General features: G+C 40.9%; 1 protein-coding gene and 1 long non-coding RNA gene across 8 annotated transcripts in view, besides 1 other annotated feature; one reads left to right on the forward strand and one right to left on the reverse strand.

The window, feature by feature from the left end:
• The window catches only part of LOC105375242 (uncharacterized), a 41,876-nt gene extending 19,521 nt beyond the window's left edge, over nucleotides 1-22,355 (reverse strand). The window contains exon 1 of one of the 3 annotated variants that reach the window (XR_927191.3): nucleotides 22,092-22,355. This is a non-coding gene — a long non-coding RNA (uncharacterized LOC105375242). Of the gene's footprint in view, nucleotides 1-19,533; nucleotides 19,612-21,819 lie in introns of those variants that run through there. The other 2 variants (XR_001745181.2, XR_927192.3) reach the window with 2 other exon arrangements.
• Nucleotides 1-24,008, forward strand: part of SUGCT (succinyl-CoA:glutarate-CoA transferase) — a 903,812-nt gene that overhangs the window by 742,947 nt on the left and 136,857 nt on the right. For 2 of the 5 annotated variants that reach the window (XR_007060157.1, XR_007060158.1), the window contains one exon: nucleotides 3,730-3,903. Coding sequence is in view for 2 of the 5 variants with exons in the window: in XM_047420840.1 (XP_047276796.1) it covers nucleotides 3,730-3,815 (86 nt within the window). In the remaining 3 variants the exon portion in view is untranslated. Of the gene's footprint in view, nucleotides 1-3,729; nucleotides 4,647-24,008 lie in introns of those variants that run through there. The other 3 variants (XM_047420840.1, XM_047420843.1, XR_007060156.1) reach the window with 2 other exon arrangements.
• Nucleotides 6,851-8,050: an enhancer, noted in NCBI's record as "BRD4-independent group 4 enhancer chr7:40924401-40925600 (GRCh37/hg19 assembly coordinates)". NCBI's record gives its function as "activates an origin of replication core promoter dependent on BRD2, P300/CBP, MED14 and CDK7 cofactors, and independent of BRD4, by STARR-seq in HCT116 cells {active_cell/tissue: HCT116}" and the evidence as "EXISTENCE:reporter gene assay evidence [ECO:0000049][PMID:35650434]".

Genomic DNA, 24,008 nt, shown 5'->3' on the forward strand with positions numbered 1-24,008 from the left:
TCTTCTCTTATCCGCTTCAGATACTTCCCACTTCTAGGTGCCCCAAATGTTTCCTTCACTTTCCCAGTGATAGAAAGTATCACATTTCTCTTTCCCTTCTTGGGGGTACTCCATTATATCTTCTTTTGTTGTTTCTTCTTCTTTTTTTAAAACCAGGGCAGGGTAGGAGTTAGGATTGAATTTTAATTTCCAGCAGTCCTTTCTACTACCTCTTATTTTTCCATTTTCATAGAATTCTGCTCTTGTTTTATGAACATTATCTTGTTTCAGTATCTCTGAGAATGCTAATTGAAAGATTTTCTTTTTTAAAAAATATTATCTTCTGTTTCCTAGTTATTTCTGTTTTCTCTGGTGTCACTTTTCCTGTGTTTATCTCTATTGAGCTGCAGACCTTCCCCAATTATATAGCGATTCTTCATAGTCCATTCACATCTAAGAATAAGGCAATATTGGCCTGTTTGGCATTCCTCTTTGGACAGGGCTGATTGTCTGGTAGGCTTCACTTTAGGGTGAAAACAGAAGGAGCTGACTATTGGGCTGAAAAGCCCTAGATGCTACATTTTGGAGTGCTTTGCTCTTGGGCACCAGTACCCACATTAGCTGCTCTAGTTTTCCTTAGACAGGTTTTGCCTTGTTTAAAGGAAAATGAAGCCTGTTATTTTTCACTTGGAAGGCAAATACTTTACCAGATATCATTCTGTGTGCAGATGTCTGGATGGGTGAATGTGGTAAAGTTCTCGGCTTTATGCTGAGCTCTCCAGGGCAGATCAACACCCTCCACCAGAAAAACCCCTGCCACCCTCCACCACACATGCACATACTTGAGAATGAAGCTTTCTCAAACTTTTTTTTTTTTTTTTTGAGATGCAGCCTTGTTCTATAGCCAGGCTGGAATGCAGTGGCGCAATATTGGCTCACTGCAAGGTCTGCCTCCCTGGTTCAAATGATTCTCCTGCCTCAGCCTCCCGAGTAGCTGGGACTACAGGCACCCGCCACCACGCCCGGCTAATTTTTGTGTTTTTAATAGAGACAGGGTTTCACCATGTTGGCCAGGATGGTCTCGAGCTCTTGACCTTGTGATCTGCCTGCTTTGGCCTCCCAAAGTGCTGGGATTACAGGCATGAACCACCGCGCCCAGCCCCTCAATCTTACTTTCTAAGTTACCACTCATCTAACCACTTTACATATTTAAGGAATTTCACAATTTTGTCTACCGATGACTTCCTTCATGTCCTGTCATTTTTAAAAATACCTTTTAATTTATTCACTATGATTTAAAACCTATTTACTAGGCAAAATTTTAAAACATATATAAAGTTAGAGATAATAGTATAATTAACCTCCATGTATTCATTATCCAGCTTCAACAATTATCAATGTTTTGTGAACAGTTTATTCATCTCTTACTTTGTTTTCTAGACGTATTCAGAAGCAAATCCAGGCATCATGTCATGTGTGTCATGAATATCTCAGTATACATCTCTAACTCAGAAATACATGCATGCATGAGCTTCTCATACCTAACAAAATCAACAGTCCCTTAACATTCTGTCATACACAAAGATTGTTAACATTGGTTCTGTTGTCCCCAAAGTGAGATTTGATAGTTTGAAATGAGGCCCAATCATGGTTCAAGAAATGTCTTCAATGGTTACATTTCTCCAGTTTCTTTTATTCTATAATAATTCTTCATTTTGCATATTTTTTTCCATATTACATTTACCTGTTTTATTGTGGTAAAAAATGACCCCCAAATTCAACAGCTATAACATAAAGGATTAAATTTTTAAATTTCTGGACCACAGTGCACACTGTCTGCAGTTGGGCAGTGCTTTGGCCTCTCTCCATGTGTCTTGTTTTTCTGGGACCCAGGCTATTTGTGGCAGGACGTTCTTGTGGCAGACATAAAAGGGCAAGAAAGCTGGTGATGGCATAGCTGACATGGCTTAGCTTGGACATGGCATAGTCTCTGCTGCTTACCTGCCATTGGTCAAAGCAAGTCATGAGGCCCAGTCAACACCAATGGGACAGGAACATACTCTGTTCCTTGAAAGAATGGCCAGCCAAGGAGCAATAGGCCTCAATGTATAATCTTCTCACAGGAAAAGGGAGTGAATAATTGGCCAGTAATCCAGCTCACTGCACATTCTTTTGATCGTTTGGAGAAACTAGGATATTTGTTCTGTAGACTGTCCTACATTCTGAATTTGGCTGATTGCTTCCTCATGGTATTGTTTGATTTATTCTTTTATGACCCATAGCTCCTGGAAACTGATGTGATTAGATTTCCTGGAAACCAGAGGAAAGATTTTTGGGTTTATTTAGTTATTTATTTATTCAGGCAAGAGTACTTCATAAGTTATGCTCTATACTCCCTGCTGCAAATGCTCTGAAGGCACAACATAGCTGACTAACCCACTTCTACTAAAATAGGTGTGATCATTGGGCTCTGTTGATGTCAGCCTGATCCTTGTATTGTGAAGCTCTCCATCAATCTTTCATCTTATGATTTCAGCACCCATTCATGGTTCCTGCCTAAATCCATGGCTTCATTAGGGACTGCAAAATGAAGATTTTTGTTTGTAATTCTACTATCTATATTTATTTACTGGGTAAAAGTAATAAAAAGTTATGATCAAAATGCCATGTTGAATCATAGCTACTATATTTATTTTATATTTTGAGAACTGAGTAAAATTTCATTGGAAAAAAGACTTTTTATTTAAAACAGTTTAAAAAATCACTGGGCCAGAGAATCTCTTCGTTGCCTTCCAACTCTAATGGTTTATGATTCAGTGACCTATGCTGAACCAATGTTTCATGACAGGAAAAAGGAGTACAGCTGATAGACAGAAGTTCTGTTGTAAGTGTGCAAAGGTAGCCAGTTAGATTTTCCATCTGGCCTAGAAGAGATTGGATATTGATGGAACCAGGGAGGATCCTCTGGGCAACAGCTTATTGTGAGGTAGAGAGAGAATGACCCTCAAGCATTTGGTCCTTGAAAGCTATGCAGAATGATTATGAGGCCAAGTTGTACAAGCATATGTGTCTCACACCAATGTAGAATATAAAACTGGGATTAGAAAACATAACAGAACATAACTTCTACCTTATCCCTTCACCATCTCATCCTCCACTATGAGATTTTCAGTTTCTTGTAAAGTAGCTTGCCACTGTCCTCATGTTTTCGTGGGTAACATGTTCTCCCATGTTCTCAGAAACCTAGAGGCACCCATCATTAACTACTTCTCATGACCCATCAGCCAAAGCCTTGGCTAGTTTGAAACCATAACCTGTCGCTGCTATATAGAACACAACTCTTCTATGTTTCCTACATTCCCCGGTGTGCTAAAGCTGCTCCCATTCCCTTTAAAGTGGGAAGAATTCCTCTTCTTCATATTTGTGTTCCATTCATTACATGAATAGAAAAGCAATTCTTCTGGGGACTCAATGATGTACAGAGATTTTAGTGAAACCTCTCTGTCAAGTTGAGCCCCCTGCCTTCTCCCTTAAGACTCAGGTACATGTTTATGGAACTTGGGAGGATGGGTCATCTGAGCAACAGCCACTTTATTGCATATCAAATGCTCCTTTTATTGTTTTGGCTGGGAGATGGGGGTGGCCCCATATCCTGATATAAAAGAGGACATTGTTAAGCCCTTTCTTAACATGATAGTTGCATGCCAAGTAAAGCAGCAGGCTGGGAAATAACCCCAATCTCTTTTCCAGATCTCAGGCACAGTGGCATCCTTCACCATGTGGAAGTTGACACTGGCTTCTACCACACAGTGTGGTTCTGGAGAGAGTCAAGATGAAGTCCTGTTGATAGAAGAACTGTGTTTATTCTGAAGCTCTCGCTCCCACCCCAGGGAAAGCCGAAGGAGGAGCTTGACAAGCTAAAGGGTAAGCCCTGGAAAAAGGCATAATCTAAAGTAACATTAAGGACTAGGGTAGTAAAAATGCACATGTGAAAACCATCACGAAGAGGGTCATTTGGTTTGCTAAGGAAATCAACATTGGCTCTAATATTGGTCTAAGTCTCTGAGAAAGGTCCCTTTTCTCACACCTTTGTTTGCTTCTAGTTTCCTTTTAGACAAAGTATTGGAAGTTATGAAATGTCCTTGTTATAGATGAGAGCAACTGACCAGATCTGCCACACACAGGAATGCCTCCCATTGCTCTCCAGGCATCAGAAGATGATCCACTGGGCTGCAAATTATGGAGGAAAAATCCATTAATTTATGAAGGTTTTGAAATATCCAACACTAAAGTTGAAGTTCTTGAAGCCTGGCCAGTATAAACAATTTTACATAAAGCTCTGTTTACTTCTATTCAGAAGCAGTCAAAATGACCCAGTTGTTCTGTGGAGCATGGAGCTCTGGTGTCTATCATCCACTGGTTGGATTTCTTTATGGTCAGGTTATAAAGAGGATCATCTTAGCTACTTCCTGCTATAAAATTTTATCCTCTTTTCTCCTATGGAAGGCAATACTCAATGGTCCCTGTAGAATGTATCTTATTGGTAGCACACATCAAGGCTGTGTGTGTCTGTGTGTGTTCTCAAGATCCCCACTGTCATTAACAGAAGAGGACTATAGATATGCTTCCTGTTAGAACACACAATAAAGCTCTTTGATTAAGGCTCACACTAATTGCATGTGAAGTCTGCTACCCATTGAATTCAGGTTAAAGGTAAAACTAATAAAGATGTTACAGGTGAACATTGGCCTTCCTGAAATTGCATAAATGTAATTGATGAGAAAAAACAATGAAACAAAGTAATGAATATGTTATTAATTTCCTGGTTCAAGTTTGAAGTCAAGAAGAGATAAAAAGTTCATCAGAATTGGTGTTTTATCAGGTAAAACTGGATTCATATTTTTTTTATTCTAGGAGCAACAATTCATCCTTGGTTATTTCTCAGAATTATTCCATATTGTTTGGAAGCTCAAAAACTTGAGCCCATCTCCATCTGTTCCTTCGTTTAGCTTTGAAAACCTTTCTATGCTTCTAGTATATGTGGATCAGCCTGCTTTCTCCTCCTTCTTCCTAGGACTCTTTTGCTGCCTTAGTCCTTGGCTCTGACAACACTTTGGTTTAGTTGTCCTGCCTAACTGAAAGCATGAGATTAAACCAAGGCAATGAGAACTTGGTGTTCCCAACTTAAGTTTGTGTGGTCAGTTCATCAGAACTCACCATGCTTTCTTCTTAACAGTACAGGCTTCTTAATTAGGTATCTGTCCAGCTCATGAACTGCAAGAGGTGAAGACCTTTCCCTTGCATATTTGGAATAAAAAACAGCTTGCCTCTGGTGATTTGGGACCTTGGCCCCAGTAACTCAGCTGTTCTTTATTCCTACAGTCTACCTTCATGTGCGACCTTGAGAATCTCAAGGGTTAGAGAATGGAGAACAACAATTAAATTGGGACTCTTCGAGTTTCTTTTATTTGATCCTTAGTTTGCATTACATAGAAATTAACAGCATGGGCCTTGGAGTTTAACACCCTAAGGTCAGATCTTTACTCTGACCCATATTCTGTATGAACTTAGAAAAGTTTCTGATCCTCTCTGTGTCAGTTTTACCTATAGGCATAATATAGCTATTTATCTCACAGAATTGTCAGGATGACTGAGTGACACAATACATGCAAAATGCTTACTACAGAATAAGGCCTTGTTAAATGTTGGCTGCTATAATTGTTGTAAATAGTGTTAAATTGGCCTTCTAGAAGTTAAGGGTGGGACTTTCCAGGATGTACTTTACCTGTTTTAATGTATGAATTTTGTAACGTAAACATGCTTAACTTCCCATGTGTTTTACTATAAGTATAAGCAGTGGATTGATTTATCCCTATCTCAGTCCCAAAACATCAGTCAATCCTGGTCTACCTACTTCAGGGCATATCCCACTGAACTGGATCCCCACTGTGGGAGCAGGATATGCAACCACAGACAGAGTCTCCAGTAAATTCAGTTTCCATAAGCTTAAATCACAGAAACACTCTGGAGGCAATGCCAAGTTTCTTCCAGAAAGAGAAATACTATGATCATAGCTCACAAAATCAGGCTGAACTTTCACATTCTCTCTTGTATCACTAGTGAAAAAAAAATCTTACTGTCAAGGAATCTCCACCCTAGGCAAGATTTATGTTCCACTTTCCTGACATTTGGTTCTTTTCCTGGGATCAGACTCATTCCAATATATTTATGCTTGAAGAGTCCACTGGAAAACTTTCCAAGCCAGCAATAGGAAACTGCTACCTGGCTGATTCTCTCCTCAGCTGCTGGCATAGTGGAGAAAAGACTTCAGGAACCTTCAGCAGACTGTCTCCCTGTCCAGATTTGTATCAACATTAATGCTTTGCTCATGATTGAAAAACATGTTCAGGCTTCCAGACTCAAATATGTTTCCTTTGCTCATAACCCTCTGGTGAGGGAACAAATGGTTTTGGATCCCTGGAGAGATGGGATGTCCCTTTATGACTGAGTTTCCCTGAACTCAGTGGGGTGCTGTGGGCTCTCTGGATGCCATTATGATGAGGCTGGAGATGCTCCTTGCTTGGCTAAATCCTCACATGTTAATATTTGGCCCGCCTGTTCCGCAGTGATTGATATTAAGGGATGAGAGTTTTTCCTGAATTTTTTCCCGCATTTTTCAAGCAGAGGTCACAATGACCTGCTGAGAAGGCAAGAATGGCTATAGCAATTTAGAAGAAACATGACAATCACCTCTTGCTTGGTAGAAACAGGCAAGGGAGTGATAGCCCCAAAGGAGGAGAGAGACTGGTTATTCTAAAGAGTGCAATGGAGTCACAAAGTATGAATGAGCAGGAGAGTAGTTGGGGATGAGAGATGTGGAGTAGGACTTATCGTTACTTTACAGTTTGTGGTTTGTTAATCTGAACTCTTCTTCTCTGCCCCAAAGGGAATCTTTCATCTGTCATAGTGGTTAAGAGCAGAGCCTTGGTGTCAGATGTACTTGGGTAAGAGCTCTGCCACTTAGAAGTATGCCTTGGTCAGCTTGCCTGGCCTCTCTAAACCTTGGTTTCCTCATTATTAAAGATAATAATTCCTGTTATATGCATTAATGAAAAATAAACATCAGATCACCTATAATGGTACCTGCCAAATAATTCAATGACACTAAAGAGTGGCTAGTGATAGTAGTGGTAGTTGGAATAGTGGCCGAGGTTATGGTATTGGTGTTGAGGATGGTGGTAACGGCAGTAGAAGCAGAAAAGGCTGTAATACTTGCAGGCTCCAGCGTTTTCACCGTATGATTCAACGGTCCTCCAAGGGCACCACAGCAGATGTACTGGCTTGGAGAGAAACCAGAGTTTGTTGGCCTCACCGCTCTACTGCCTCCTCAAAAGTATACTTTTCCCACCACTTCTTCCTTCTTTTAATGGAGCCAGATTTACAAATGGAAAAAATAAAACGGGCCTATATTTCTGACACCTGCCTCACCTGTGATCCTGAGACTTGGCAGCAAAGATTTCCCAAGGGCCATGGCAGAAACTAGTCTATAAGTCTTCCTCTTTGGGGACCCTTGTTCCCTTTCCTGGATCCCCAGCCAGACAGCCCAGGTGGTTTTTCATGCCATCAGACTGACGTTAAATTCAACCTCAGTTCTTAAAGGAAAAGGTACCATTTCCTTTCACCAGTCCCTGGAGCCCACCTCCATCCTATGATTGGCCTTCTCCCAGAATGACTCATCAACCCAGAGTTTGTCCTTTTGATGACCCCTGACGTCTTCCTGAGATGGGGTGAGACCTGCTGGGAGGAAAGGCAATCATTATTTCATCCCAAGCTGAGGCCACATAAAACACTTCCCTTCTCTAATGAATGGGCTCCAAAGGGCAATCTGACTTGTCTTGGTATGACCCTCCTAGGCCAAGGGTGGGGATGAGAATTTAAGCTAATGTTGGTGTTGGAAACATTTAGATATCAATTTCTCAACTTTTTCTCATTATAACAGATAGTTAATGCTGTTGTGGATGGACCTTTCTTTACCTTTCCCCCGACTTTTAAGAGACTTTACAGAAGCAGAATAGGAAACCACTCTATTAACAGTGTGTGGCCTGGAAAGTGTCAGTGTTTCATATAATGTGGAGGCCTAGTATATATAAACATGAGCCTCAAGGAATATGGAGAGTCATGCTTTGAAATGAGGCAAAATAGTGCAATGGCTAAAACAATGCATGATAGAGTAGAACAGATTGGGTTTGAATTAAGAATGTGGACATGCCACTTTATTTTCTAGGCTTCATTTTCCTCATGGGTATACTGGGGCTATTGATGGTACCCTATCTCGTAGGTACTATGTTAGATAAGACATAAAATGCACAGCATGGTGCCTGATGTACCATGGTAGGATGTGGCAGGGGCCACTAGCGGGAAATAAGCACCATCACTTGGAGCTCCAAGAAGACAACACTAAGCTACTGTGGGGATGAACACTTAGATTCAGGGTATTCATGAGTTGACATTCAGATTGGGACTTGAAGGAGAGTGTGGCTTCCACAGTGGCTAAATAAGTATTACAGGTAGAGAATGAAAACAGAGCTGTGAAAGGTAAATTCATCAAGCAATGAATTGTGTGTGGATAGCAAGATGCATGTGTGTGGGTAGAATAGTGAATGAAGAAATAAGCTGGGCCAAAATATTGGATGGCTTGACTAATACACTAAGAAGTTCTTCCAGAATGCGATGCCTCCATAGTGGTCATTCTCCTAGGCCTGCTAACTAGCCAACTCCCAGAATTATTAACTCCAACAGGCAAGATAATTTGGAGATACCCATGTTGGTATGCAGTAAGCATCCCAGCATATGCTTTAGGATTATTTCTACCCCTGTAATTCAGACCTACTGACAGGTCCGAACTATTGGAAGGACAGGCCCAGAAAAGTCTATTTATATGAGAAATCAGGGTACTGCCAGGGAAAATAACCACTTCAGGAACTTGACTCTTGGTCAAACATGTAGCTTGAGAGAGTAGGAACAATTATAAATCCATGGGATCTCCTACTTCCGTTTCCCTTGGACCTATACCTGAGTCCAATATTAGATAAAGGTCCTGTACACCAGAAATGGCAGGGAGTCCTAAGCCCATGGAATAGAACCTTTGAGGACCTCAAGGTGGAAAAGAGGACCAGTATAACCAGTGGCTGGAAGAGTGGCATGTAGTGAAGTTGAAGATTGAAGCAGAGGCCAGATGATAAAGAACATTCTAAGTCCTGAAGGATAGTCTGAATTTATTAATATTTCTAAATAAAATGGGAAGTTACCAAGGGGAATTTAAGCAGCTGAGTGATATGACATACTTATGAGTCAGAAAGACCATACATATTTGGAGACTGTGTTGGGTAGGAAAAGGTCTGGAAGCTGGAAACCAGTTAGGAAACTACTGTAGTAGTAAGAGCAAGAGGTTGTGATGACCTTCATTGCTACAAGGGTAGTGGAAGGAGTCATGGAGACAAGTATAGATTCAAAATGTCTTTTTAACATAGAATCACAGAGCTCAATAATGGATTAGAAAAGTAGTGAAGACAGAGAGGTTGGAGTCAAGAAAGTCTCCTAAGTTTCTGGATTCAGCAACCAGGCCAACAGTGGTAGTATTGACTGAGACAGAATACACAGGGGTGAGAAGGTGCTTTGGCTGGAAGACACAAGAGTTCTGATTTTGAGAAGTTCAAATAGGTCCTTAGGTAGGCATATGTTTATCCAAGACCTTTCAATGCCCTGGGAGTTGTCTGGACTAGAGAGACAAAGGTGGGAGGGCTGAGCTTCCTGAAAGAGAGGAAAAAGACAGGGCTCTGGAACTAACCTCCAAGCAACTCCAAAATTTTGTGTTTGGGAGGAGAAGGCAGAGCCAGTAAAGACACTGAAAAGAAGTGCCCAATAAATTTGAATGAAAAGCAGGGGAATGTGGTACCGGAAAGTGGGGGTTGGAGAGTGCTTTCAAACAAGGGAGGGCTCAGCAGGGTCAGGTGCCACTAAAGGGCTCACTATGGCAGGTGTGGCACTAAGCATTCTACATGCAGCATCTTTATTTTATCTCTGAAGTGGCAGAGCTGGGGTTGAAAACAAGGTACATCTGACTCCAAAGCCAATGCATTTTCTACTACCCTATGCTCCATAGGCATCCATGCCCTCATTTTGCAGATAAAATATTGAATGTCAGAGAATAAAGTGGCTACACAGACCGAGAGGAACTCATGTTCGACTGAAACCTGGGGCATCTCACTCCTAAATCTATGTCACTTCTCCTACAGCAGGCTTCCTCTCCTACTCTGCTTCCAACATGGACTTGGAAAACTCTGGGAATATATGCAAATGCTTCTCCATGAAGTAGAAAGAAAGGTACTTTTTCTACCACAAAAGGTAGAGATAGGGAGGCCGAGGCAGAAGAATCACTTGAACCCGGGAAGCGAAAGTTGCAGTGAGCCGAGATCATGCCACTGCACTCCAGTGTGGCGACAGAGTGAGACTCCATCCAAAAAAAAAAAAAAGAAGAAAGGTAGAGGTAGAGATAAACCCAAGATCAGGTTTTCCAGCAGTGTGTTTGAAAAATTAAAATAAGCTTGATTTGCATAGGAAGCAAAAATTAATGACATTCTAAGCCTTGTGCTTTAAGGCACATTCATAGGTTTAAAAAAAATAACCATGTCACATAATAAGGCAAGGTGCACTTTGGGTGTGGTAAACTGGAACACCCAAGCAGGGACTACAGGCATGGGTTGGGTGCACCTGCACTTGGGAGGATTTATGGCAGACCACAGATAGGTACTGCTCACTGCATCAGTCAGGGCCAAAGGATTACAGGTGGAAGGGAGGTGTCAAGTAGGAAGTCTGAGAAGAGCCCAGGTCACCTACTCCCGAGTATGCATTGGAAGGGGACTCAGATGCACCTGGGTGTGGCAGTGTCCACTTCTGTTTCTGGAACCAGAGCCATGGCTGCTGCTCAGCTAGGCTGGCTCTGCTGCTCTCCTCCCTTAGCTGTCAGTTAGGCTGAGACAAAAAGCCTGTGGCCTGATACTGCTGCATGGATTGTGTTTTCTTTGACTGATTTTCTTTTGGCACAAAAGTGGCAAGAAAATGAAAATGCGCCGGAGCTTGACTGTGATGAATGGGGCAGGAGGGTGGTAGGAAGAAGGCTGGTCCAGGAGTTAAGCTGTGCCTTGAAGTACATCGATGGGCTGGGCAGGCAGTGGTGGATCACAGCTGGTAAAAGCGTGGACCCTGGTGGGTAGGCCAGCCAGCTGGCTGTCATGGCTCTCAAGGGACATCTGGAAAGTACGGGGGATCAGTCTGTGGCTTTTAGCTGGACTTGGTCTTGAAACACATGGTCTGAAGTGTTCCCTGGGAGGACTGCTAGTGGCAATCCTTGAGGGTTATGTGTTCTGTGGATCCACCTTGCTGGGAGGAGAGAGTGTCTCAGAGTACTGTTAACTTTGGCATGGGCTTTGAGACAGGATCTTGGAAAGGTTATGCCTTATCCCAAGCACCGAAATGCCATCAAAAGTAGTTCCCAGGGGCCTTTTTAAGGGCCTGATCATGAGCCTTAGCTGTCTTCAGAATCAGAAACAGAACACATGCTCAGACCCCCATAATTCACTACCTTGAGGGCTTGAGAGTAGATTCTTATGCCCCAGGCTGAGATCTCTTTCTGTGGAATCCCATGTGGACACATAACAAATTATCTCATCACCAATCTCTTGCCTAAGAAACTCCCTTCAAACTTCCTTTGACTTATTAATATAGGTCAAGTAGTTTATTACCTACTGACAACAGTTCTCACGGTTCTATTCCACTGGACCTTTTACAAGCAAAATCCCAGGAAAAGACTATCCCTGTTACCACTTTCCTGAGTTCAAAGTCTAAGTTCAAAGACTAAGTCTCATGCACTATATAAAATAGTCCCACAACTCAGATTCTACCCTTTTACCCCCTTGTTTTCAACGTGATACCTGACAACCATGTTATTTGGGTATTTGTGTTTATTTCTGCCTTTGTCCTGTAGAATGCAAGCTCCATGAGGTCAGTCATATTGCATCGTTCACTTAGCAGTGACAGCATATCTGACATATAGTAGTTGTTCAATGAGCACTGATTCAATCATTGAATGAATAAAAGTTCTGTGTGGGTTGCCATATGGGGCATAATGAGGAGACAGGTGAGCAACTGAGAGGTAAGCCTAAGAGTGTGTAAGCTGCTGAGTTTTTGAATTTATATTATTTATTATATAAATATTTATATTATATATTTATATTTATATTATATAATTAAATATTTATATTATATATTTATATTATATAATATAAATTAAATATTTATATTATATAATATAAATTAAATATTTATGTTATATAATATAAATATTAATATATAAATATTAATATATTTATAATAATATAAATATATTAATATTTGGGCTTTCACCCTTGTGGACCCAGGCTCTAGGTATGCCCCCATGTCCAGGCCGCTTCCCTGTCCCATGCTCTTGGCTCACCCCCATGGACCCAGGCTTCTGCCCCATCTGAGGACTCAGTCATCAGGCTCAGCCCAGTGGACCCTAGTACCAGGCCAGCCCCTTTGGGCTCAAGCTCCAGGCCTGCTCACCTGCTGACTCAGGCATCAGGCCATCCTGCCTGAAGACTCCAACAGCAAGCCTGCCCACAAGCCCCACCAGTTAGCCTACCCAGAACCTCTGCATGGGCTGACTGGTAAAAGGCTTTCCCTGGTGAAGATGGTCTGTAAAGACTGGAGGAGGCACTTACTTCTTCAGATGCATAGCCACAAGAAACATCAATAATCAGAAAAACATAACACCAACAAAGGAACAAAATGAAGTACCAGTAATCTAAAGAAATGGATATCTATGAACCTCTTGACAAAGGATTCAAACTAATTGTCTTAAAGAAGTTCAGTGAGATACAAATGAATACTGATGGAAAACCAAACAAAACTAAGAAAACAATACAGAACATAATTAGAAATTCAACAAAGAGAGACAACCCATAAAAAAGAACAAAAAATTTCTAGAATTTAAGAGCATAATGTTTAGACTGAAAAATTTCATAAAGAGCTCAACAACAGACTAAATCAAGCAAAAGGGAGCATTAGCAAGCTCAAAGACAGGTCATTTGGGATTTCCCAAGTAGAGGAAAAAAAAAGAAAGGAGTCAAGAAAGTCTATGGAACTTACGACACACAATCAAGGGAACCCAATATAAGCATTATGGGAGTTCTAATGGAGCAGAGAAAGAGAATGGAACAGAAAGCATATTTTAAAAATTAATAACAGAAAACTTCTCACACCTGGAATGGGAAATAAATATCCAGATCTACTAAGTCCAAAGAACCCCAAATAGGTTAAACGTAAGGAGATCTTCACTGAGACACATTATAATTAAATTCCCAAAAGTCAGAGTCAAAGAGAAAATTATCAAAGCAGCACAAGAGAAGCAACTTATCACATAAAAGGGAATCCTCTTCAGACTATCTACATATTTCTCAGCAGAAACCTTGCAAGCCAGGAGAAAGTGAGATGATATATAAAGTACTGAAAGAAAAAAAGAACAAAAACTGCCAATCAGGAATATTATACCCAGCAAAGCCATTCTTCAAAAATTAAGGGGAGACAAAGACTTTCGCAGACAAACAAAAGCTGAGGGAGTTCATTACCACTAGACCTACTTTACAAGAAATACTAAAGAGAGTTTGAGTTGAAAAAAATTATGCTAACAAGCTGAAAACATATGAAAATATAAAATTAGTCCAAGTGAGGTGGCTCTCACCTATAATCCCAGCACTTTGGGAGGCCGAGGCAGGCAGATCATGAGGTCAGAAGATTGAGACCATCCTGGCTAACAAGGTGAAAGGCTGTCTCTACTAAAAATACAAAAATCAGCTGGGTGTGGTGGTGCACACCTGTAATCCCAGCTACTCGGGAGGCTGAGGCAGGAGAATCACTTGAACCCAGGAGGCAGAGATTGTGGTGAGCCGAGATCATGCCACTGCACTCCAGCCTGGTGACAGAGCAAGACTCTGTCTCAACAAAAAAAAAAGAATATATAAAATTCACCATAAGGATAAAAATATAGTCAGACTCAGAATAACACTGTAGAAGTGGTGAATAAGTCACTTTTAACTCCAGTATAAAGTTAAAAGATAAATGTATTAATAATAACTATAGCTACAATAATTTGTTAATGGATACACAATATATAAAAGGCGTAAATTTTGACATCAATAGCAAAGTGTGGAGGGAGGAGAAGTTAAAGTGTAGAGTTTTTATATGTGGTCATAATTAAGTTATTATCAGCTTAAAATTGGCTTTTATAGCTATAAGATGTTTAATGTAAGCCTCACGATAACCACAAAATAAAACAAAGACCTATAGTACATACACAAAAGATAAAGAGACAGAAATCAAATCATACTACCATGAACATTTATCAAATCACAAAAGAAGACAGAAAGAGGGAAAAATGAATAAAGGAACTATAATACTATCAGAAAACAATAAACAAAATGTCAACATTAAGTTCTTACCTTCAGTAATTACTTCTTGTTTAATTAAAATTAAAGTTTTTTTTAGAGAGAGGGTCTTGCTTTGTCACCCAGGCTGTAGTGCAATGCTGTGATCATAGCTCACTGCAGCCTCAAACTCCTGGGTTCAAGCAATCCTCCCTCCTCAGCCTCTCAAGTAGCTAAGACAGCAGGTGTGCACCACCACACTTGACTAATTAAAAAAATTTTCTTTTGTGGAACTAGGGTCTTGGTGTGTTGCCCAGGTTGCTCTCAAACTCCTGGCCTCAAATGATCCTCTCATCGTGACCTCACAAAGTGCTGGGATTACAGTCATGAGCCACTGTTCCCAGACCTGGTAATTACTTTTAAATGTAACTTGACAGAATGGCTGAATAGATTTTGAGAAACAAGATCTAACTATATGCTGTCTACAAGAAACTCATTTTAGCTTTAAGGAGGCACACAGGTGGAAAGAGAAAGAATAGAAAAAGATATTTTGTGCAAATAGTAACCAAAAGGGAGCAGGAGTGGTTATATTTATATATATTTATATCTGACAAAATAGACTTAAAGTCAAAACTGTCCCAAAAGACAAAGAAGGTCGCTATATAATGATAAAAAGGTCAATTCATCAAGAAGACATAACAATTATAAATATATATGCACCCAACATCAGGGTCCCTAAATATATAAAGCTAATAGTAACAGAAAAAGAAATAGACATTTATACAATAACAGTAGGGGACTTCAATACCCCACTCTCAACAATGAATAGATTATCTGGAGAGAAAACCAGTAAGGAAACAGTGGATTTGAACAATACTGTTCAAATGTTATAGATCAAATGGATCAAACAGATATAAAAAGAATATTCCATCTATCAGGAGCAGAATACATATTCTTTTCAAATGCACATGGAACATTCTTCTGGATAAATCAAAGGATAAGGTAGGCCATGAAACAAGTCTTAACAAATTCAAGAAGACTAAAACCATTCCAAGTATCTTTTCTGACCACGATTGTATCAAACTATTAATAGAAAACAATATCATGAGGAATATTGGTAAATTAACCAATATATGGATATTAAAGAGCATGCTAGTGAACAACCAATGGGTCAAAGAATAATCAATAAATAAAGAATTTTTAAAAAAATATTCACAGAATCAGTAAAAAAACCTGTTTTGAAATTCATATGGAACCACAAAAGAGCCTGAATAGCCAAGGCAATCCTAGGCAAAAAGAACAAACCTGGCCACATTAATTTACTTGACTTCAAACTATACTACAAGAGGCTGGGCATGGTGGCTTACACCTGTAATCCCAGCACTTTGGGAGGCCAAGGTGGGCAGATCATCTGAGGTCAGGAGTTTGAAACCAACCTGGCAAACATGGCAAAACCCCATCTCTGCTAAAAATACAAAAATTAGCTGCACATGGTGGCAGGCACCTGTAATTGCAGCTACTTGGGAGAATGAGACATGAGACTCACTTATACCTGGGAGGCAGAGTGAGCCGAGATCATGCCACTGCACTCCAGCCTGGGCAACAGAGTGAGACTCTGTCTTAAGAAGAAAAAAAAAAAAGCTATACTACAAGGTTAAGTTTACAGTAACCAAAACAGCATGGTACTGATACAAAAACAGGCACATAGACCAGTGGAACAGAATAGAGTCCAGAAATAATCCTGCACATGTACAGCCATCCAATCTTCAGCAAAGCTGACAAAAATAAGCATTGGGAGAAAGGGATCCCTATTCAGAAAAAAATGGTGCTGTCATAACTGGCTAGCCATATGCAGAAGATTGAAAATGGACCCCAAAATTCAACTCAAGATGAACTAAAGAAGTAAATGCAAAACTTAAAACTACAAAAATCCTGAAAGAAAACCTAGGAAATACCATTCTGGACATAGGACCTGGCAAACATTTCATGATGAAGATGCCAAAAGCAATTGCAACAAAAACAAAAATTGACAAATGGGATCTAGTTAAACTGAAGAACTTCTGCACAGAAAAAGAAATTATCAACAGAGTAAACAGACAACCTACAGAATGGGAGAAAATATATGCAAACTATGAATCCAACAAAGGTCTTATATCCAGAATCTATAAGGATCTGAAATCAACAAGCAAAAAACAACCTCATTAAAAAGTGGACAAAGGACATGAACAGACACTTTTCAAAAGAAGATATACATGTGACCAACAAGCATCTGAAAAAATACTCAGCATCACTATTCATTAGAGAAATGCAAATCAAAACTACATTGAGATACCATCTCACACCAGTCAGAATGGCTATTATTAAAAAAGTCAGAAAATAACAGATGCTGGTGAGGTTTCAGAGAAGAGGGAACACTTATACACTGCTGGTGGGAATATAAATTAGTTCGGCCACGTAGAAAGCAATGTGTCAACTCCTCAAGGAACTTAAAATAGAACTACTATTTGAACCAGCAATCCCATTATTGAGTATATAACCAAAAGAATATAAATCGTTCTACCATAAATACACATAAATGTGTATGTTCATTGCAGCACTATTCACAATAGAAAAGACATTAAATCAACCTAGATGCCCATCAGTAGTAGAGTGGATGAAGAAAATGTACATATTCATCATGGAATACTATGTAGCCATAAAAAAGAATGAAATTATGCATGACCTTTGCAGCAACATAGATGGAGCTGGAGGCCATTATCCTAAGCAAACTAACACAGGAACAGAAAATCAAATACCACATGTGCTCACTTATAAGTAGGAGCTCAACAATAAGAGCACATGGACACCAAGGAGGGAAAATAGACATTGGGGCCTACTTGAGGGTGGAGGGTGGGAGGAGGGAGAGGATCAGAAAAAAATACCTATTGGGTACTATGTTTATTACTGAGTGACAAAATAATCTGTACACCAAACCCCAATGACATGCAATTTAACTATATATTAATAACAAACCTGCACATGTACCCTGAACCTAAACAAAAAATTGAAAAAAGAATCACAAACTATGATCAAGTGGGATTTATCCGTGGGATGCAAGGATAGTTCAACATATGCAAATAGGTAAATGTGATACACCATATTAACAGAATGAAATAAAAAATTATTGATTATCTGAACAGACACAGAAAAAAAATTTGAAAAAATTTCAACATCTTTTTATAATAAAAAACCTCAACACATTAGACATAAAAGAAAATCGAAATACAAAAAGCAATCTGAAAATGTGTACAAAACCACAAAGTCCTCAAATAGTAAAAACAATCTTGAACAAAAAGGACAAAACTGGAGGCATCACACAATCTGATTTCAAGATACAGTACAAAGCTATTGTAATCAACACAGTATGGTACTGTGGGCCTCAACATAATAAAAACCACATATGATAATCTAACAGCTAATATCATTTTTAATGGCCAAAAGCTGAAAACTTTTCCCCTAGGATTGGAATTGAGATATAGCTGTCTACTCTTGTCTCTTGTATTTAATATAGTACTAGAAGCCCTAGCCAGAGCAATTAGATTTTTAAAAAATTACAGGGATCCAAATTTGGAAGAAAGAAGTAAAATTGTTTGCAAGTGACATGATTTATATACAGAAAAATTCTAAAGATTCCACCAAAAAATCTGATTCAAACAAATAAACAAATTTAGTAAAGTTTCAGGGTACATTTGATATGCAAAAATAAGTTGTATTTCTGTACACTAACAATTACCTATTTGAAAAAAAATAAGAAAACAATCCCATTTATGACAGCATTAAAAATTTAAAAAACCTTAAGAATAAATTTAACCAAGGAAGTGAAACATCTATACACTGAAAGTACAAAACATTGATGAAAGAAATTGATGCAAAGATATCCAATGTTTATGCACTGAAAGAATTAATATTGGTAAAATAGTCATACTACCTGATATGGTTTGGCTGTGTCCCCACCCAAATCTCATCTTGAATTGCAGTTCCCACAATCCCCACGTGTTGTGGGAGGGAACCAATGGGAGATAATTGATTCATGGGGGCGGTTACCCCCCATGCTGCTGTTCTCATGATAGTGAGTGAGTTCTCATGAGATCTGATGGTTTTATAAAGGGCTTTTCCCCTTTTGCTCGGCACTTCTCCTTGTTGCCACTATGTGAAGAAGGTTGTATTTGCTTCCCCTTCCACCATGATTGTAAGTTTCCTGAGGCCTCCCCAGCCCCATGGAACTGTGAGTTAATTAAATCTCTTTCCTTTATAAATTACCCAGTCTCAGGTATGTCTTTATTAGCAGTGTGAGAATGGACTAATACACTACCTAAAGCAATCTATAGATTTAACGCAATCCCAATGAAAATTCCAATGTCATTTTCCACAGAAATAGAAAAAACAATCCTAAAATCTATATGAAACCGCAAAAGTCCTCAAATAGTCAAAGCAATCTCGAACAAAAAGAACAAAGCTGGAGGTATCACATAACCTGATTTCAAGATACACTACAAAGCTACTGTAATCAAAACAGTACAGCACTGTGTAAAAACAGACATATAAACCAGTGGAACAGACTAGAGAGCCCAGAATAAATCCACACCTTTATGGTCATTTGATTTTTGGCAAAGGTGCCAAGAACACACAACGGGGAAAAGATAGTCTCTTCAATAAATGGTTTTGGAAAAACTGGATATCCACATGTAGAAGAATGAAACTGAACCCTTATCCCACACCACATACAAAAATCAACTCAAAATGAATTAAAGATTTAAATGTAAGTGCTGGAACTGTGAAACTACTGAATAAAATATAGGGGAAAAGCTTCTTGACATTGGGCAAAGACTTTTTTGGATATGACCCCAAAAGCACAGGAAACAAAAATAGAATTAAACTACTGATATTTCATTAAGAAATCATGTTGCACACTTTAAATATATACAATTTTTGTCAATTATACCTCAATAAAGCTGGACACACACACACACACACACACACACACACACACACATTTGGTATATTTGGGGTTTACCTTCCAGCACGTGAGGAAGCCACAGAAGGGCTTTAACCATTCAGGGATAGGATCCAAGTTATGTTGTAGAGTGACACTCTGGTGGCTGGGAAGAGTGAGTTGTGTTACACTCAGAAGCAGAGAGATCCCATTGTGTGGCCGTTGCAGTGGGCCCCCAAGAGCCTTCAGTGGGGGATGGTGGCTCCAACTGAGCTTGAAGGACTTCCAAAGACAGCAAATGAGAGGTGAAGCCAGCTGGGCTTCTGGGTTGAGTGGGGACTTGGAGAACCTTTGTGTCTAGCTAAAGGATTGTAAACACACCAATCAGCACTCTGTCTAGCTAAAGGTTTGTAAACGCACCAATCAGCTCTCTGTCAAAACGGACCAATCAGCACTCTGTAAAACAGACCAATCAGCTCTCTGTAAAATGGACCAATCAGCTCTCTGTAAAATGAACCAATCAGCGGGATGTGGATGGGGCCAGATAAGAGAATAAAAGCAGGCCACCTGCGCCAACAGTGGCCACCCGCTCAGGTTCCCTTCCGGTGTGAAAGGTGTGTTCTTTCGCTTTTCAGATAAATCTTGATGCTGCTTATTCCTTGGGTCCACGCTGTCTTTATGAGCTGTAACACTCACCCAGAAGGTCTGCAGCTTCACTCGTGAAGCCAGCAAGACCACCAGCTCACCAGTAGTGATGAACTTAAGTCGGGAGGACTGAACAACTCTGGACGTGCCACTTTTATGAACTATAACACTCACTGCAAAGGTTTCCAGCTTTCACTCGTGAGTTCAGAGATACCACAAACCCACCAGAAGGAACAAACAACTCCAGACATGCTGCTTTGCTGCGTTTAAGAGCCGTAAGACTCACCGCGAAGGTCTGCGGCTTCGCTCCTGAAGTCAGCAAGAGCACGAACCCACCAGAAGGAAGAAACTCCGGACACATCATCTTTAAGAACTGTAACACTCGGCAGGGCATTGGGGCTCACGCCTGTAATCCCAGCACTCCGGGAGGTCGGGGGGGGGGGGGGGGGTGGATCACGAGGTCAGGAGATCGAGACCATCCTCGCTAACACAGTGAAACCCCAGATCTACTAAAAATACAAAAAATTATTTTGGGCGAGGTGGTGGGCGCTTGTAGTCCTAGCTACGGGGGAAGCTGAGGTAGGAGAATGGCGTGAACCGTGGAGGCGGACCTTGCAGTGAGCAGAGATCGCGCCGCGAGACTCCGTCTAAAAAAAAAAAATGAACACTTACCACGAGGGTACGCGGCTTCATTCTGGAAGTCAGCGAGACCGAAAGCCTACCAATTCTGGACACAAAATGGGGTGGAGGTGGCAGAGAACAATACTCGGTGAGGCTTTTGGGGGCCATTAGGTGATTCATGTGATCAAAGTGAATAGTTCCTAGATCAGGGACAGTCAAAACTTCCTAGGTACATGAAGAAGCTGTTCCTCAAACAAAATGTCACTTGGAACTGCCACATTTAAGTGAAAGGGCAGTGGCTCTCCTTGGGGCTGGGGAGGGGGGTCTACAGCCACGTCCGGCTCTTAGGCATTGTTATTCCTTCTTCCCCAACTGTGGCCTCCAAGCCACTCTTGTAGAACCCCCCAGAGCTCTGAGGGTCCCAGTGGGAGAACCTCTGATAGGAGGGAAGGAGTGAGAGAGTGCCCTGCTGCTCTTCCTCTCGCTTTGCTCCCTTAACTTGTGCTGTGCACAGCTCTTGACCTTTCTGAGAACAGACTGGCATCTCTGGCCGCCCGCCCTCCTTCCCTCCCTCCTCACCAACCCTGACTGGCAGAGGTTCTCTGCGTATCTGACTCAGTGAGCAACCTTCCTTAAGGCAAGGCCCTTTATTTACCCCTCCGCCTCCCATTTTGGCACCTCGGTGGCTATAAATACGCCCTGTGAATGCAATTACGTGATGGAACGCAGGCTGCGCCAAAGCCTCTTTGCTCCAGGCTATGGTGTCAGCCATTTACCTCTGTGAAGCATATAAAAAGACACGCGACTCAAGAGGCAACGCACACGCTGAGACAGAAAGCAAGAGCACAACGAAAAATACAACAACAAACAAAACTCATAAGACGGCATTATGAGTATTCCCGGGAGAACAAAAAGGCTCCAAGAAGGTAACTCCCGTCTCTTGAGCATACAATATGGTTTTTATAAACTTCCAGGACTCTTTCCTACTTTTTTTTTTGCTGTTTTTACCATATCACCCCCACAACACAGTTTTTTCTTAAGGAAATTAAACACAAAACACCTACTGTATATTTAATTTAAAGAGGAAAAAAAACTTCAAACCTTTCAATGTTGAAATATCATTAAGCAGGGTGACGCAAAGCTGGAGAGGCCAGGAAATTGAGTCTTTAACCTGCCACTCCTTCCCGAGCGTATGGCCATGTATGTCATTACACAGCACTCTGCTCCAGAGTATAAATTAAGCTTCATTATAAAGATGAAGGCAGCCCAGGCCTGGAGTTTCGCAGGATCTGGCTGCGGTGGGCTGGGGGGTAGTGGGTGGGCCCTGGCCCTCTCTCTTCTAGAGGTCACAGTAGTAGCACAAGGACCCCCACCTCCTTCATCCTCGGGGGCTGCTGCGAGGCCTTCTCAGCGAAGCATTGGCCAGGCTCTGGGAAGAGCCGATGACCGGCTGTGCTTTCCAGATTTGGAAACTTGGCTCATACTTTTCCTTAAGCAGCCTCCAGCTTCTCTGCGTATTTCAAATCATCTTGTCATTCAATGCCCAGAGCAAACGCCGTGGTCTTGCTGAAGCCACATTTCTAACCGCCCAGCTATTTCTTTCCCTCTGGCTCCTCCTGCATGACCAAGATTTTGAATTGTGAAGTTGATTGCCTGACTTCCCGGCAATGTTTCTTCATGTTGGACAGGTGACTAAGCCTCTTTATGCCTTTGTTTCCTTGTCTACAGGATGAACTAGTTGTGCGGATTAAGTGAGATTGTGCCCATAAAACACATAGTCATTCAACAACTCTTAAACTATCTTGGGAGCATAGCAGATGTGAAAGAAAACTATCTTTAGTCCCCTTTGAGTTCCAAAGTTCATTCCACAGATCTGGCTGGCCCAAACAATAGTACTTGTTTGTCAAACGCATCGTCTGTGCCCAAGCCTGGGCTGGGGAGTGTCAATAGCTAGTGAGAGAGGGGCTGAGGAACTCTGAAGGTCCTTGCCAGTGAAGAGCACGTCATACTTCCAGGATGCTGTCTGTGCTCTGCAAAAACCACGAGGCAGCCTAGAAGCTGCATTTCCGCAAGGAAGCTAAAGGAACTTAGGACAGAGTAAGGACTGCTGGGCTGCAGTGAAAGGGAAAACCTTGGAAGAAGAATGGCACATCATTTATTTTTCATTTACAAAGTGATTAACCTATGCGTTATTTTTCCCCAAAGGATTTTAGGTGGTTTTCAAAAGCACGTGCAATTCAAAATATAAGATAAATGAGGGAAAATATATGTAATTGTCAGTCCAGGGATTTGACACTTAGAGCTTAAAAGAAAGAAATGTTTGGATGGATGTGTATGTGTGTGTATATTGTAGGTGGTGGGGAGTGAGGTAGTGTTTCCCAACTGTTAGCTGATTGTTTTAGGTTTTCATCTTGTGATTCATACTATATTTGGCTTTGAGAAGCTTAAGTCCATTGTAGAGAAGATATTTCAGTTGACTTACAGCTCTTACATGGACTCTCAGCAGAACTTGGTTACAAAGGATTGGGAAAGTGGCCCAGGGATCTTGGTGACCAATATCTGGGGACATAACTAATGAGGAAGTGACCCAGGCTAGCAGCGAAGAAAACAATGACTCTCTTGGCTGGTCCTAAATCTCCTGTTTTCTCACGAAGATCCTTTGATCACTTCCTTGGCCAGGCAAATGTGTCCTTACTGTTTGTTTCAACTTATGGGGAATTTCCCGGGAGCCTGGCCCTATCTATCTCACGAGAATAACCTTTAATCTTATGAGTCTTCACAACACACACTATATAGCAACCATCACCTTAGTATACTAGACAGTGCAGTTGGTGTGCATCCAATAAGAAGGTCATCCCCAAGGCGTTCTGCAAGCTCAGGCCTCACGGAATGATGTTACCAAACTGCCTTGATTTCTGGCGATTTCCAACAGAGGATCACAGAGCACTGTTCAGGTCCACGTTAACCTTGTGGCTTTCTTGGCACATAGATCCCAAAGCAAAGGATGCCAGGCAACAAATCAGAAATAGAATTGAGAAGTAAGCACAAAGGATGAAGGGAAGTGCCAAATACATTTGGTTTCTCATGGGGGATAAATTGAATTACGGTCTTAAAAAGTTTTAAAATAGTGCAGAAATGCTAAACATGAAAAGAGGTGTTGGATATATTTTAAGATTCCAGGAACTCAGAATCAGAGTCATGACATAAGAGGGATTCACTGGTCATTTTGTACAGTAGTGCCAGAAATAAGGAGCCTTGCGGTGCACATCCAGCCAAATCCAGGCAAGTGG

Source organism: Homo sapiens, chromosome 7, assembly GCF_000001405.40.
Source record: "Homo sapiens chromosome 7, GRCh38.p14 Primary Assembly".
Lineage (NCBI taxonomy): Eukaryota > Metazoa > Chordata > Mammalia > Primates > Hominidae > Homo > Homo sapiens.